At 42.6% G+C, this 15,758-nt stretch overlaps 1 protein-coding gene and 1 pseudogene across 1 annotated transcript in view; one reads left to right on the forward strand and one right to left on the reverse strand.

Annotated features, from left to right (window-relative positions):
- NLRP9 (NLR family pyrin domain containing 9) overlaps window positions 1-4,065 on the reverse strand; it is a 29,965-nt gene extending 25,900 nt beyond the window's left edge. Inside the window, exon 1 of the mRNA NM_176820.4 lies at window positions 3,758-4,065. Coding sequence (NP_789790.2) covers window positions 3,758-4,037 — 280 coding nt within the window. The 5' untranslated portion in view covers window positions 4,038-4,065. The remainder of the gene's footprint in view (window positions 1-3,757) is intronic.
- RN7SKP109 (RN7SK pseudogene 109) lies at window positions 2,948-3,263 on the forward strand (annotated as a pseudogene).

The raw sequence follows: 15,758 nt of genomic DNA on the forward strand, positions 1-15,758 counted from the left end.
TGGGCAACAGCCTGACACTCTATCTCAAAAAAAAAAAAAAAAAAAAAAAAAAAAAAATTACTATATCAATTGTTTCTAAAATTGGTCTTGTCTATATAATAACCTTCCCCTACTTTCTGCATTTTCTTTAATTAAACTGATGATAGCAGGTCACCTGTCAGCAAAGTACACATATATATACACACACACATATATATATATATATACATATATACGCACACACATATATACACACATATACATATATACACATATATACATACACATACACACACACACACACATATATATATATATATATTTTTTTTTTTTTTGAGATGAACTCTCGCTCTTGTCCCCCAGGCTGGAGTGAGATGGCGCTATCTCAGCTCACTGCAACCTCCGCCTCCTGGGTTCAAGCGATTCTTCTGCCTCAGCCTCCCAAGTAGCTGGGATTACAGGCACCTGCCACCACGCCCAGCTAATTTTTGTATTTTTCGTAGATACAGGGTCTCACCATGTTGGTCAGGCTGGTCTTGAACTCTTGACCTCAGGTGATCTGCCCTCCTCGGCCTCCCAAAGTGCTGGGATTACAGGCGTAAGCCACCATGCCCAGCCACAAAATATATATTTTATGCAAAGTTTATCTAATGAGTGATGAGAAATGGGGAAGGGAGAAGAATTAAAATCCTGTTCATAATCTGAGTTTTCAAATTTCAGAAAAATTTTGAGTCTTGGGAAGGGACTGGACGGAAGGAGATTGCAAAGGGGCCCTACAGTCGCTCACAGGAAGGCAGGGACGGTTCCACCGATGGTCTGTGCTCTCCTTGCACACTCGTCTGTGGACATCACAGGAGGGAACAGCATCCACTTTATTCTCCGCTATATCCCTTTAACACCGTCGCACAGGAGTTATTCAAGTCTCTGAGCAGTGACTGACTTTGTATAAAATTAATATTGTAAAACTGTCTTGAATTTAAAACATACATGCTAGGCACGGTGGCTCACGCCGGTAATCCCAGCGCTTTGGGAGTGCTGAGGCAGGAGGAGCACTTGAGGCCAGGAGTTCAAGACGAGCTTGGCCAACATAGTGAGACTCCATCTCTATTAAAAAATTAAATTAAAAAATATGCAGATAAAGAGAAAGGAAATAAGGCCATTCCAAAATGTCATCAATGTATGTAATCATGGCTCATAGCTTGATCTGTGTCTGTATTACTCTACATTTTTCTTCTGCCCGATTTTTCTCTCTACAGTAGAATTATACTGTATATACTATTTTCAAACATGGTTTTTGACTGAACAATATATTATGGACATCTTTCTAAATTCATGCACATTTTTCATCACAAAACACTATGCTATTTATTAAAAAATTTTTTTTTTTAGACAGAGTCTCATCACTCTGTGGCCCAGGCTAAAGTGCAGTGGTGTGATTGTGGCTCACTGCAACTTCCACCTCCCGGGTTCTAGTGATTCTCGTGCCTCAGCCTCCCGAGTAGCTGGGATTACAGGCGTGCACCACCACGCCTGGGTAATTTTTGTATTTTTAGTAGATAGAGTGTCTCACCATGTTGGCCAGGCTGGTCTCGAACTCCTGACCTTAGGTGATCCGCCCACCTCAGCCTCCCAAAGTGCTGGGATTACGGGTGTGAGCCACCACGCCTGGCAAAACCCTATGCTATTTAATTGAATGGATTTATCATTATATTATTCACTTTCTATATTTGCCCATAGTAAACATTTGCTGACCTCCAAGGTTTTTTTTTGAGACAAAATTCATAAGCAAGGTTATTTAAAACTGATGATTCACGCCTGTAATCCCAGCACTTTGGGAGGCTGAGGTGGGTGGATCATGAGGTCAGGAGATCGAGACCATCCTGGCTAACACGGTGAGACCCCATCTCTACTAAAAATACAAAAAATTATCTGGGCGTGGTGGCAGGCGCCTGTAGTCCCAGCTACCTGGGAGGCTGAGGCAGGAGAATGGTGGGAACCCGGGAGGCAGAGCTTGCAGTGAGCTGAGATCGCGCCACTGCACTCCAGCCTGGGCGACAGAGCGAGACTCCGTCTCAAAAAAGAAAAAAGTCATGTCATGTCTTAGAGATTTTTATAACATTTAGGACCTCAGTGTCCCAAGTGAGAAACTCTCAGTTCAGACACTGACTCGGTCATTTTTTCATCTGCCAACATAGAACATTAATCAGCAGAAAAGTCAAAGACACGAACCACACAGATAAAGAAAACTGGCACACACCTGTAATCACAGCACTTTGGGAAGCCCAGGCAGGAGGATCATCTGAGGTCAGGAGTTTGAGACCAGCCTGACCAACATGGTGATACCCCGTCTCTACTAAAAATACAAAAATTAGCTGGGCGTGGTGGTGCATGCCTGTAATCCCAGCTACTCGGGAAGCTGAGGAAGGAGAATCGCTTGAACCTGGGAGGCAGAAGTTGCAGTGAACCGAGATCATGTCACTGCCCTCCAACCTGGGCAACAGAGCAAGACTCCGTCTCAAAAAAATAAAACAAAAACAAAAAAAAAAACAAAAAACTAACACAGCAAGCAACTCCAAACCAAATAAAATACCCTCAAGCATGTGGGGATACGAAATAAGGTCTCAAATTAGAATTACCAACACAAAGAAGAAACATGAACAAAACAGAAGTAAACGTAACAGAAGTTGATGGAACTCAAAAGTAAAGGGAGAAGATAACAATCATCAGAAACAAATGCTAATTACTAGATACCTAATAGGGAATATATTTAGTTTTTCCTAAGTATCCCCCGAGAGGAGGGTGTAGACCCCATCAATGAGTCCAGCAGAACTGGTTCGGAGTCAGATCTGTCACTTTTGGAAAAGTCATGTAACACATGGGAACACTGTTTTGTCCAGTTTTCTCACTTGTAAACCTTTCCTGGGTTGTGATAAGAATGAAAAGACATTATGCAGAAAGAATGCTTCCAGGACGTGAGGACAACCTGGCTGTGATGTCTGTCACCCCATTGGTCGCCCCAGGGCTAATTCGGCTGATGTGGCCAGCTGGGTGGGTGTCCACTTCCTCCCTCACTGCTCCATATGCGTCCGTCCTGAAAGTCTCCCCTGGGTCAAAGACGATGACAACCTTTGCCCATAGAGGAAGGTCCTTCCATCGCGGGCAGAAGAGAAGCTGTGCTCCCCTACTAGAACCTCCAAACAAGCTCGCAAGAATGCTTCCTGTAGTACCCGGGACATACGCTGTCTGATTGTCTTAAGATTCTACCTACTCCTTGGTACATGTCTGGTCAAAAAGGACAGGCAGTTAGGCATGGTGGCTCACTCCTGTAATCACAGCACTTTGGGATGCCTAGGCAGGTGGATCACTTGAGCCTGGGAGTTCAAGACCAGCCTGAGCAACATGGCAAGACCCTTTCTCTAAAAAAAAAAAAAAAAAAAAAAAAAAGATAGGCAACTACCATACTAGAATTCCATCTCAGTAGACCTGGCAATGCAGACACTAACTGGCCACTCATCTCCTATAACAACGACTCCACTTGGGGTGGAAAAATGGGAAGACACTCCATAGGTGAACAGTTGGTATCAGGACGCCATCTGTCCCCAGTTCATCGCTGGCCCACATATGAACAGCCCTGGCCTGCAACTCTTCCTACCTTCAACTCTCACCTTGACCCACACACATTCTCATCTGATGGAGGGGGTGGCCACTCATTTAACAATGCTATCACCTTGTTCCCAGGCTTCCCCCATGGGTCCTCGCCCCATCATCCAGCACTTACTTCTCATCTCTTCCTGAGCCTTTGTCCAGAGATCTTTCCTATTGATCTGTAGAAACAGGTTCAGTGTTACCTCCCATGCCTGCTTTCCTGGGTAATGTTTGTCCAGCAGCTTTGCTACATCTTCTTTGGAGGCCTTCTTCAGCTCAGCCCAGGGGATTGGCTTGAGTTCAAATTTCTCCAAAGGTTGTTTGAGGAGCTCCTTAAATTTCCAAAACTCTTCCTTTCTGAGCTCCTTCAGATACCACAACAAGCCAAAATCCGAAAAAAAAGATTCTGCCATATCGCCCCAGGATTGTGAACTGAGGTGTCTCCAGAGGGAAAAGAAAGATCCTCAAAAATAAAGAATAAATGATACCTGGAGAAGAATGACATGATTACAGAGTTAAGCTTCAGCAGCTGAAAGCAGCTCAAAATTATTGATATCATCATGCGTAGCTTGCACCAAACATCATCTAGGGAAGAAGCTTCATCTTTTTCCAAACAAATGCATGTGAATGGTAGAGTTGACTGCCACTTATGTGTCTTGTTTTTGTCTGACATAAATGATGCTTCCAGGAACAAGTGTTTTTGTGTAGTTTGGTGTATATAAGCACACATTTCTCTAGATTTATAAATTATAGGTCAAACAGCAAACACAGGTCACCATGTTTGCTACATAACACTCAACGGTTTTCCCTTGTGTATATAATTACTGACATTCCTACCAGCATTCTATGAGTTTGTTTGCTCTGTAGACCTTCCCATCCTTAGTATAGTCTAATCCAATTTTGATAATGAAAAAATGAACGGATATTAAAATTACAGATGATCACATTCAGGAAGATGAAAATAAAGGAAGAGGACATAAAAGCAAATTTAAATTTTTTTTTATCGTTTAGTGGTATATGCCTTCTTTTTTTTTTTTTTTTTTGAGACAGAGTCTCGCTCTGATGCCCAGGCTGGAGTGCAGTAGCGCAATCTCGGCTCACTGCAAGCTCTGCCTCCCGGGTTCACGTCATTCTCCTGCCTCAGCCTCCTGAGTAGCTGGGACTACAGGTGCCTGCCACCACACCCGGCTAATTTTTTTGTATTTTTAGTAGAGATGGGGTTTTACTGTGTTCGCCAGGATGGTCTCGATCTCCTGACCTCGTGATCCACCCGCCTCGGCCTCCCAAAGTGCTGGGATTACAGGCATGAGCCACCGTGCCCGGCCGGTATATGCCTTCTTATTACAGTATATAAGGAAAAAGTTAGATTTACTATAGGTTAGCATCTGCAGACAACTCAGACAGAAACAGAGCAGTGAACGTTCCCAGTATTATAAACCCTTCAGATAATCATTGCAATTCAACAAAAGACAGGAAATGAAGTAGAAATATATGGTAGACAAAATAAGACAGGTGGCAAAAATAATACCAAATATATATAGATATGTATTTTGAGATAGAGTTTCACTCTTGTTGCCCAGACTAGAATGCAATGGTATGACCTCAGCTCACTGCAACCTCTGCCTCCCAGGTTCAAATGATTCTCCTGCCTCGTCCTCCCAAGTAGCTGGGATTACAGGCACCTGCCACCATGCCCGGCTAATTTTTTTTTTTTGTATTTTTAGTAGAGATGGGGTTTCACCATGTTGGCCAGGCTGGTCTCGAACTCCTGACCTCAGGTGATCCACCTGCCTCAGCCTCCCAAAGTGCTGGGATTATAGGCTTGAGCCACTGCGCCCAGCCTAAATATAATCTTAACACATATGAATGAAATAAAATTGCTCACTAATATATAGACTCACATTGGATAAATACAAATCCTGCTATATGCTGTTTATAAGAGAATCCTAGAAAATACACAGAGAAGTAAAACAGAAGAAGAAAAAGCCTGGCAAATTCTTACCCAAAAAAGTATTAATAGTATAAAATATCAGCATTGAAAAACACTCAAGCTAGAAAGCACTAAATGGACTAAGAATTTTTGAACACCAAGATTCAGTTCCCCAAGATCTAGAACTCATGAGCATATGTGCACCTGGGAATACCACTTTACACATAAGGAGATGATGACAAACGCAATATCATTGTATCTGAGCTAATATACCTTTCAGATAATTACAAACCATTAGCAAAGGTTACATACCATCTATGGTCACATGCAAAAGAATAAACTTGGACCCTTAATACCATAAACAAAAATTAATGCAAAATGGATTGAAGAAGATCTAAATGGAAGGCCCAAAGTATAAAACTCCTAGGAGAAAATGTAGGGCAGAAGCTTCCAGACACAGATTTGGTCTGGATTATTTCTTGAATATGACATGACACAGACAAAAGAAAAAAATAGACAAACTGGACTTTATAAAAATTTTAAAATTTTGTGCATCAAAAGACAGTATCAGCCAGGTGCGGTGGTTCATGCCTGTAATCCCAGCACTTTGGGAGGCCGCAGCAGGTGGATCACTTGAGGCCAGGAGTTTGAGACCCATGGCCCACATGGTGAAACCCTGTCCCTACTAAAAATACAAAAATTAGCCAGGCGTGGTGGCAGACACCTGTAATCCCAGCTGCTCGGGAGGCGGAGGCTGCAGCAAGCTGAGATCACACCGCTACACTCCAGCCTGGGTGACAGAGCGAGACTCTGTCTCAAAAACAAAGACGATATCAAAAGAGTAAAAAGTCAACCAACAGAATGGGAGAAAATATTTGCAAAGCATGTATCTCACAGGGATTAAAATCCAGATTACAGGGAATGCCTAAAACTCAATAACAAAACAATCTTATAACAATGAGAAAAGGACTAGAATAGACATTTCTCCAAAGATATACAAATGGTCCATAGCCAATAAGCACATAAAAAGAGGCTCAACGTCACTAACCATTAGGGAAATACAGATCACAACTACAATGAGATAATCCTTCACATCCACTAAGATGGTAACTACAAAAAAAAAAAAATTCAAAACAAGTGTTGATGAGAAGGTAGAGAAACTGGAACCCTTGTATCCTAGTGACGTATAAATGTTAAATGGTTCAGCCACTGTGGAAAACTGTATCATATTTCCTGAAAAAATAAGAACAGAATTACTGTAGGATCCAGCAACCCCAAAGAATTGAAAGCAGACTCTCTCAGAGTTATCCGGACACTCATGTTAATAGGAGCATCAGTGACCCAAGTGTTCATCAACAGATGAATGGAAAAGTGAAATGCAGTCTATAAATACAGTATTATACAGCCTTAAAAAGGAAGGATGCTGGGCCCGGTGGCTCCTGCCTGTAACCCCAGCACTTTGGGAGGCTGAGGCGGTTGGATCACCTGAGGTCAGGAGTTCGAGACCAGCATGGTCAACATGGTGAAACCCCGTCTCTACTAAAAATACAAAAAAAAAATTAGCCAGGTGTGGTGGCAGGTGCCTGTAATCCCAGCTAACTCAGGAGGCTGAGGCAGGAGAATCGCTTGAACCTGGGAGTCGGAGGTTGTAGTGAGCAAAGATTGCGTCACTGAACTCCACTCTGGGCGACAGAGCGAGACTCTGTCTCAAAAAAAAAAAAAAAGGAAGGAGTTTTTTTTTTTTTTTTTTTTTTTTTGAGAAGGAGTCTCACTCTGTCCCCAGGCTGGAGTGCAGTGGTGCGATCTCGGCTCACTGCAAGCTCCGCCTCCCGGGTTCACACCATTCTTCTGCCTCAGCCTCCGGAGTAGCTGGGACTACAGGCGCCGGCCACCACGCCCGGCTAATTTTTTGAATTTTTAGTAGAGATGGGGTTTCACTGTGTTAGCCAGGATGGTCTCGATCTCCTGACCTCGTGATCCGCCCGCCTCAGCCTCCCAAAGTGCTGGGATTACAGGCGTGAGCCACAGCGCCCGGCCTAGGAAGGAGATTCTGACATATGCTGTGACATGAATGAACCTTGAGGACATTATGCCAAGTGATAGAAACCAGTCACAAAATGACAAATACTGTTCCATTAAACGTATATGAGGTACTTAAAGTGGTCAGAATCATAGAGACAAAGTAGAATGATGGTTGCCGAGGCTGAAGAAGAAAATGGAGAGCTATTGTTTAATGAGGACAGTTTCAGTTTTACAAGATAAACAGTTATGGAGATGGATGTGACGATGCTTGTACAACATTATAAGTGTATTTAGTACCACTGAATTATACACTTAAAATGGTTAAGACGGTAAGTTTTGTATTATGTGTATTTTACCACAATAAATTTCTTGAGACAAGGTCTTGCTCTGTGCCCAGGCTGAGTGCAGTGGCTCAATCACAGCTCCCTGCAGCCTCGACCGGCCCCCCACCCACACCCACCGGGGCTCAAGGACCTCCTCAGCCTCCCCACCTCCGCCTCCCAAGTAGCTGGGGCTAGAGGCACACACCACCAGGCCCAGCTAATTTTTTTAGATTTTTGTAGACATGATGTCTCACTATGTTGCCCAGGCTGGTCTCAAACTCCTGGTCTCAAGTAATCCTCCCACCTCGGCCTTCCAAAGTGCTGAGATTATAGGCAAGAGCCACCACACCCAGCAAAAAAAAAAAAAAAAAAAAATTAGTAATATGCTATTGAGGTAATGCACAAGTTTGTGACATATGTATGTGAAATATATGTATACATTTTTTAAAGGGAAAGTGGTTTGATTCCAAATCAAATATGTACATTTCATTCAAACGCATATGGGACATTTACTAAACATGACCTTATCTTGGGCATAAAGAAAAACTAAAAGAGAAACAGGTATTCTAAATCAGAGATCACTGGTCTCATTCAACAATCACAATAAAATTAGAAAATAAAGGCAAAAGCATGGAAATCCATTGTTAAATTTATTTATTTATTTATTTATTTTGTTTTTTGAGACAGAGTCTCGCTCTGTCGCCCAGGCTGGAGTGCAGTGGCATGACCTCAGCTCATTGCAACCTCCGCCTCCCAGGTTCAAGCAATTCTCTGCCTCAGCCTCCTGAGTAGCTGGGATTACAGGCACCTGCCACCACGCCTGGCTAATTTTTTTTATTTTTAGTAGAGACGGGGTTTCACCATCTTGGCCAGGATGGTCTGGAACTCCTGACCTTGTGATCTACCCGCCTTGGCCTCCCAAAGTGCTGTGATTATAGGCATGAGCCACGGCGCCCGGCCTCCATAGTTAAATTTTAAGTGTACATTTTAATGTAACAGGCAAGTAAGAAGCTAATTTAACTTACTGAGAAAGGAACAGACAAACTTCATGAAATAAACTTCAATGGCTGTTAAAAATAGGAAAAATTTTCTAGAAGCTCATTTTCCATCCAGATTTGAAATATATAGGCCGGGTATGGTGGCTCATGCCTGTAATCCCAGCACTTTGGGAGGCTGAGGTGGGTGGATCACCTGAGGTCGGGAGTTCAAGACCAGCCTGCCCAATATGGTGAAACTCTAACTCTACTAAAAATACAAAAAATTAGCCGGGCATGGTGGCGCATGCCTGTAATCCCAGCTACTCGGGAGGCTGAAGCAGGAGAATCGCTTGAACCCAGGAGGTGGAGGTTGCAGTGAGCCGAGATCACACCATTGCACTCCAGCCTGAGCGACAAGAGCAAAACTCAGTTTCAAAAAATAAATAAATAATATACATAATTTTCATCATAATATATGGGGAAATGGATGTTAAACAATGGTGGAATACAAATGCATGTAATTTTGGAGGAAAATGTGGCAACCTCTATTAAAATGGAAAATGAAGATTTTCTTCAACCCCACGATTTTACTCTCTGGTTATCCATTCCAAAGTAGCATTTGCAAATGTGCCTAGAGTTTTGTGTGCACAAATGGTCGCTGCAGGGTTTTAAATAATTGTTGAAAGCAAAAACCTAAATATTCATAAATAAGAAAACAGTTAAATAATGGTATACTATTATAGTACAATTGGACCATTGTATGGAGTCAGACGGAGACTAGAGGGGCTGGAGAAGATACGGGGAGTGGTTTGATGGACATTGCATAGAGTTTCAGTTTGGTATGAACAGGTTCTAGGGATGGTGGTGATGACCGCACAGCAATGTGAATGCACTTAATGCCACTGAATTGTACTCTTAAAAGTAGTTAAGATGGTAAATTTTATGTATATTTCACCAAAAGTTTAAAACAAACAAACAAACAAAAAAACAAACCCCACATCCCCTCAATCTCTTCTCCGAACATTCCTTTCTCCTCCCTGCTCTAGGGGACACCCCCCTCTACAGATACTGAGTCTCCCGCGGCTCTCTCATGCCGACGGTTTCATCAGCCCCATTCTTCATGCTGTGGAGTCCAGATAAGGTATAGATACCCTCGCTGGTGCTCCCTAACACCTCACAGACTTTCGGCCAACACTAGGCTCCACCACCCATTACCATTTTGTGTTGTTGCCATCCAAGGTCTCTGGCACAATCTCCTCATTCCTCCCAGATTCTACCCCCTGGCTCACCCCTACTCTCAAGCTATTCTTGTGGGCATGCAAAGCAACCATTACTGACAACGTGATGAATATGTCATTTAGCATAAGGTTAGGACATTTTAGAACTGGCTGATAAAAGATTACTTCAAAACCAACCAGCCAAGTCACCAGATCAACAGGTCTCAAACTTCCTTCTCTCCACTTCACTCTTTCTCACTGCCAGAGATTTGGTGTTTTATTATTTGTCTCCCCAGGTTACATGAATCCCCCAATCAGAACCAACAGACCAAGTCTGGAAAATGGACCTTCAGTTTTCGATATTTTCATCATTTCTCCTCAGCTCTCCAAGACCTCCAATTTTCTGTATCTCTAATTCAATTTCAGAAAAAAAAAAATAAGGAGACAATGCCTTCTGGAAGAGTCCCTTTCTCTCACCCAATTTAGAGTCCGGAAACACAAAAGTTAACAAGTGAAAGTGCCGGGTACACAATCTCTCTGCAAATTTATCTGGTTTTCATTACAGGCCGGGAGCAGTGGCTCTCACCTGTAATCTCAGCACACTGGGAGGTCGAGGCGGGCGGATCACTTGAGGTCAGGACTTTGAGACCAGCCTGGCCAACATGGCGAAACCGCATCTCTACTAGAAGTACAAAAATTAGCCGGGAGTGGTGGCGTGCGCCTGGAGTCCCGGCCACTCGGGAGGCTGAGGCAGGAGAATCGCTTGAACCCAGGAGGCAGAGGTTGTGGTGAGCCGAGGTCGCGCCATTGCACTCCAGCCTGGGTGACAATGCAAAACTCCATCTTAAAACAACAAATAAATAAATAAATAAATGGTTTTCACTACAATGCATCCTTGCCAAAACAAAAGGTCAAGACTTGATCATTTCTGGTGCCCTCTTACCTGTTCCTTATGCACTCCAGACCTTCAGGAAGCACTGAGACTTTAGGGAAATGAAGAAGAAAGAAAGGTCAGGGGGAAGACTTACCCAACCCAGCCCCTGGTCCTCCTGGCTGGAACTCAACAAAGAACAGCGGTGGAAACTTAGAATAAAAGGCCCTGGCTGCTCTGTGACTGGCCACAGAATCTCTCCTTTTCATTGGCTGTCATGGATATTGATGACTAGACCCAGACGGCAATTGTTTAGGTTCTTTTTTAACTCCTCAGGTGTGAATGCTTTTCCCCCAGCTGGATAGTCCGTGCTGCTGTTAATATCATCTCCCTACGTAATATAATATGATCACAGGGCTTCTGCGAACTATCTTCTCCCGACCAATGAGAGCTGGTTTGGAGACTAGTAATGGGAACCACTGTTCTCATAATCTGAGTATCTGACTCCTCCTATGAACTTCCTAAGGAAATCTATTTTGTGCATGTCTCAACTTCCGCTTTAAAAGTTGAGCACTTAAAAAGGAGCATTTGCATGTAAGGAAATCAATGAATATGCTCGAGTAACTGGCTTTGGATGTAAAGGGCAGAAGTCAGAATCTGCAGTTGTCTCCCAAACACCCTGTTACCCTCATCATTGACTCCTGTGCGAATGCTGCCCCCTCTTCACGCTCATCCCCATTATCCCTCCCGCAGCTGCCATTCTTGTCCCCACCCTCTTTAACATTAATTGAATGCTAATGGTGTAAAAGCCCTACAGCTGAGTGCATTTCATGCAAGATCCTTCTCTTCACAGTCCTCGGAAGTAGATAGCATTATTATTCCCATTGTCAAAGATACTTGAGGCCATCAGGGTGGAGGCTAGAGTTGAGAACATTCCTACTTGGTCAGCCCAAATTTTAACCGCTGCATTGTCCTGCCTCCCAGCCATCATTGATCCCAGTGAGGCTTAGGAATGTCTGTGTTGGATCTGTGGGGAGATGTGGCTCAGTTCTGCCTAATGAGACTGAGCTAAGAGACTCAAAGAATCTTTCCTCTCCAGGATCTTGGCCTTTCTTTAACCAGCTACTCACCATCAAAATTCTGACCTGACCTCTTTACCCTGACTGCTTAAACCATCCTTAGCTGGGCCGGGGTGCATCCATTAGAGGGCTGTGTCTTGATCTCCCTTTCTTCAGTTTTTCTGATAGCCACCACAGGATCTGGCATAGAAGGTTAGAAGTGGTTAAGCACTTGAGCTGGAACAGCAACCTCTATTCTAGACTGTTGGTGTGGCTATGGGCAAGTATTTATTAACTTCACTTGTTTTTCCTCTTCTGTGAAATGAAGAGGATGATGATCGTGATGATATTGATGATGATGGTGATGATGGTGATGATGATGATGACGGTGATGGTGAAGATGAAGATTATTATGGTGGTGATGATGGTGATGGTGAAGATGAAGATGATGGTGATGATGATGACGGTGATGGTGAAGATGAAGATTGTGATGATGGTGGTGATGATGATAGTGATGGTGATGATGATGATGGTGATGGTGAAGATGATGATGATGGTGATGGTGAAGATGAAGATAATGATGATGGTGATGATGGTGATGATGGTGATGATGGTGATGATGGGGGGCGGAAAGGGTGGCTGGGCTGTCACTTGGTTTCTCTTTTGTGAATTGCCTGTTCTTTTCCTTAAAGATTTACCTGACTTTATGTATTTTTTTGTGTATATTTATGCAAAATACAATTTGCTGGTTAATATAGAATCATAAATCTTTCTAAAATTTGGGATTTTCTATTTATTGTCTATGGTATTTTAGGGGTAGAGTTGTTTTAAAATGTATTAATGTCTATTTTTATTAATCTTATCATTTGTGGGTGATATAAATACTTCCTGTCCTGAAAGTCAACTATTTCCCTATATTTTCTTTCACACATTAATATCTCTTTTTACATTTTCAATTCACTTATACATAATAAATCTTCATAATGTGATGTAGTGGTTCAGTTTTATCTATTGATACCAATTACTTCAACACATATATTGCATAGCCTATCTTCCCATACCAATTTTCTGGCGCCATCCACTTGTTGTGAAACACCCACCTGTTGCCTTGATCTCTTTCTGTAACTTTTGTTGTACTATATTTGTCTATTTTCTGTTACTGCTACAATATCATACCACTTTACAGATATTGAGTATTGGCCGGGCACAGTAGCTCATGCCTGTAATCCCAGCACTTTGGGAGGCTGAGGCGGGCAGATCACCTGAGGTCAGGAGTTCGAGATGAGCCTGGCCAACATGGAGATACCCCGTCTCTACTAAAAATACAAAAATTAGCCAGGTGTGGTGGCACATGCCTGTAATCCCAGCTACTCAGGAGGCTGAGGTGGAAGAATCTCTTGAACCCCAGAGGTGGAGGTTGCAGTGAGCTGAGATCGCGCTATTGCACTCCAGCCTGGGCAACAAGAGCGAAACTCTGTCTCAAAAAAAAAAATTGAATATTTCTGTATTACGTGGGTTTATAGTAATGTATTTCCATATGCATTTTTATAGTTTTATCCTGCATACTATTTTAATAATATTAAAGTTATTGCACAGTGCCTTTTAGAGTGTTGAGTATCGGGACACACATTCTCACGTTGTGTCACTGATTCTTGCTCATGGGAAATTGTTTCCAAGTGTGTCTTGTAGTTATTTTGAAGCAATGAATAAGGAATATTTTCACTTTGGTGTGACCATATGGCTTCACTTGCAAAAGGTAACCAAAAGTGTTCAATTCTGCTTCTGGTAGGTTCATCCAAGTAGGCCTTGTCTCTCATAAGTGTGAGGGTTAGTGTGTTGGTTTCGTATTTTTTCTTTCACTATCCTTCCATGAAATTTCTGGGACTGCCTTTGGCTTTCAATTCCTAATATTTTAAAATTGCCGAGAAACAATTGTCCTTTGGGGGAAGTAATTGGCTTACTTTCTCTCCTGGCATAGAGGTAAGGATTCTGTTGCTGAATCGCTAGAGTTTCAGCACTTCAAGAATCTCCTGTGAGTGAAGAGTTCAGTTTCTGCATCTCACTTCGCCAGTGTCAACGCTTACACCCGTCCCTGCCTGAGTGTTGAGTCTCTGGGCCTCAAAGGAATCCAACTCATTTCTAACTCTGACCCTCCAACCATGCCCAAAGCTCGTAGTAGCATGGACTTGAGAGGGAACACTCGGAATTCCATTTCACTTTCGTTTACACGTCCTGGAGGTTTCTTTAGTTTTGTTGAAAGTTCACCTTTCATTATTATATTGATGAAATTAGAGTTAATTGTGTTAGACATAATTATGCCAATTATAATGATGGTGAAATTTTTCTTTTAATTTCAGGAAATTCTGCAGGCAGTTATCTCTTTCTCTTTTGGATATATATTAGTTCTTTAATGAATTGCACTATGCCTTATTTCGTTCTGGCTGAAACTGAATTTCCCATCCTGGCTGAATATTATATTAGTTAGACCATGCCTATTAAGAAGTCCATTGGTGTCCGGGCACCGTGGCTCACACTTGTAATCCCAGCAGTTTGAGAGGCCGAGGTGGGTGAATCACCTGAGATCAGGAGTTGGAGACCATCCTGGCCAGCATGGTGAAACCCCATCTCTACTAAAAATACAAAAATTAGCTGGGCGTGTTGGTGGGTGCCCGTAATCCCAGCTGAGGCACGAGAATTGCTTGAACCCAGAAGGCAGAGGTGCCAGTGAGCCGAGATTGTGCCACTGCACTCCAGCCTGGGTGACAGAGTGAGACTCTGTCTTAAAAAAAAAAAAAAGTCTGTTGGCAAAATGTTAGAAGTTGCATCTTATCCACATGTAACAAATATGTAGTTAGAGACCCTTTTGATAAAGCCTATTCACAAGTATTCCCTAAAAGCTCACTCAGAAGATAAAATTGTTTCTTCAGATATATTTTTCTAATTGCAGGAATTTATTTTCAGAAGGCTTTTTTTTTTTTTAGACGGAGTTTCGCTCTGTCGCCCAGGCTGGAGCGCAGTGGCGCGATCTCGGCTCACTGCAAGCTCCGCCTCCCGGGTTCACACCATTCTCCTGCCTCAGCCTCCCAAGTAGCTGGGACTACAGGCGCCCGCCACCACGCCTGGCTAATTTTTTGTATTTTTAGTAGAGATGGGGTTTCACCGTGTCGGCCAGGATGGTCTTGATCTCCTGACCTCGTGATCCACCCGTCTTGGCCTCCCAAAGTGCTGGGATTACAGGCATGAGTCGCCACCCCCGGCCTATTTTCACAAGTTTTTTAAACAAACTGGAAATTCTCTTGAAATGACTTGGAAACTAAACAAGAACCTTTTTGAACATTTTATTTGCCAAAAAGTAGTAACCAAAATAAATGATATTTTAATTTCTTTTTTATTAAAAGATTTTCCGCTAGCTTTATTAAAATATAATTGACGGGTAAAAATTGTACATATTCAATGTGTTTGAAACGATAATTCGATTATACATAGGCATTGTGAAAAGATTACCACAACCACATTAACACGTCATCACAATTACTTAACTTTTTGTGCTTGCGTGGGATAAGAACACTTAAAATCTACTTTCTTCACAAATTGTAAGTAAACTGTACAGTATTATTAAATATGGTCATCTCCTTGTACATCAGGGCTTCAGAATTTATTCATCTTATTATTGAGAGTTTGTACCCATTGACCAGCATCTTTTCATTTCCTCTTCTCCCAGCCCGCCACCTCTGTA

The sequence above is a fragment of the Homo sapiens genome, chromosome 19 (genome assembly GCF_000001405.40).
Source record: "Homo sapiens chromosome 19, GRCh38.p14 Primary Assembly".
Lineage (NCBI taxonomy): Eukaryota > Metazoa > Chordata > Mammalia > Primates > Hominidae > Homo > Homo sapiens.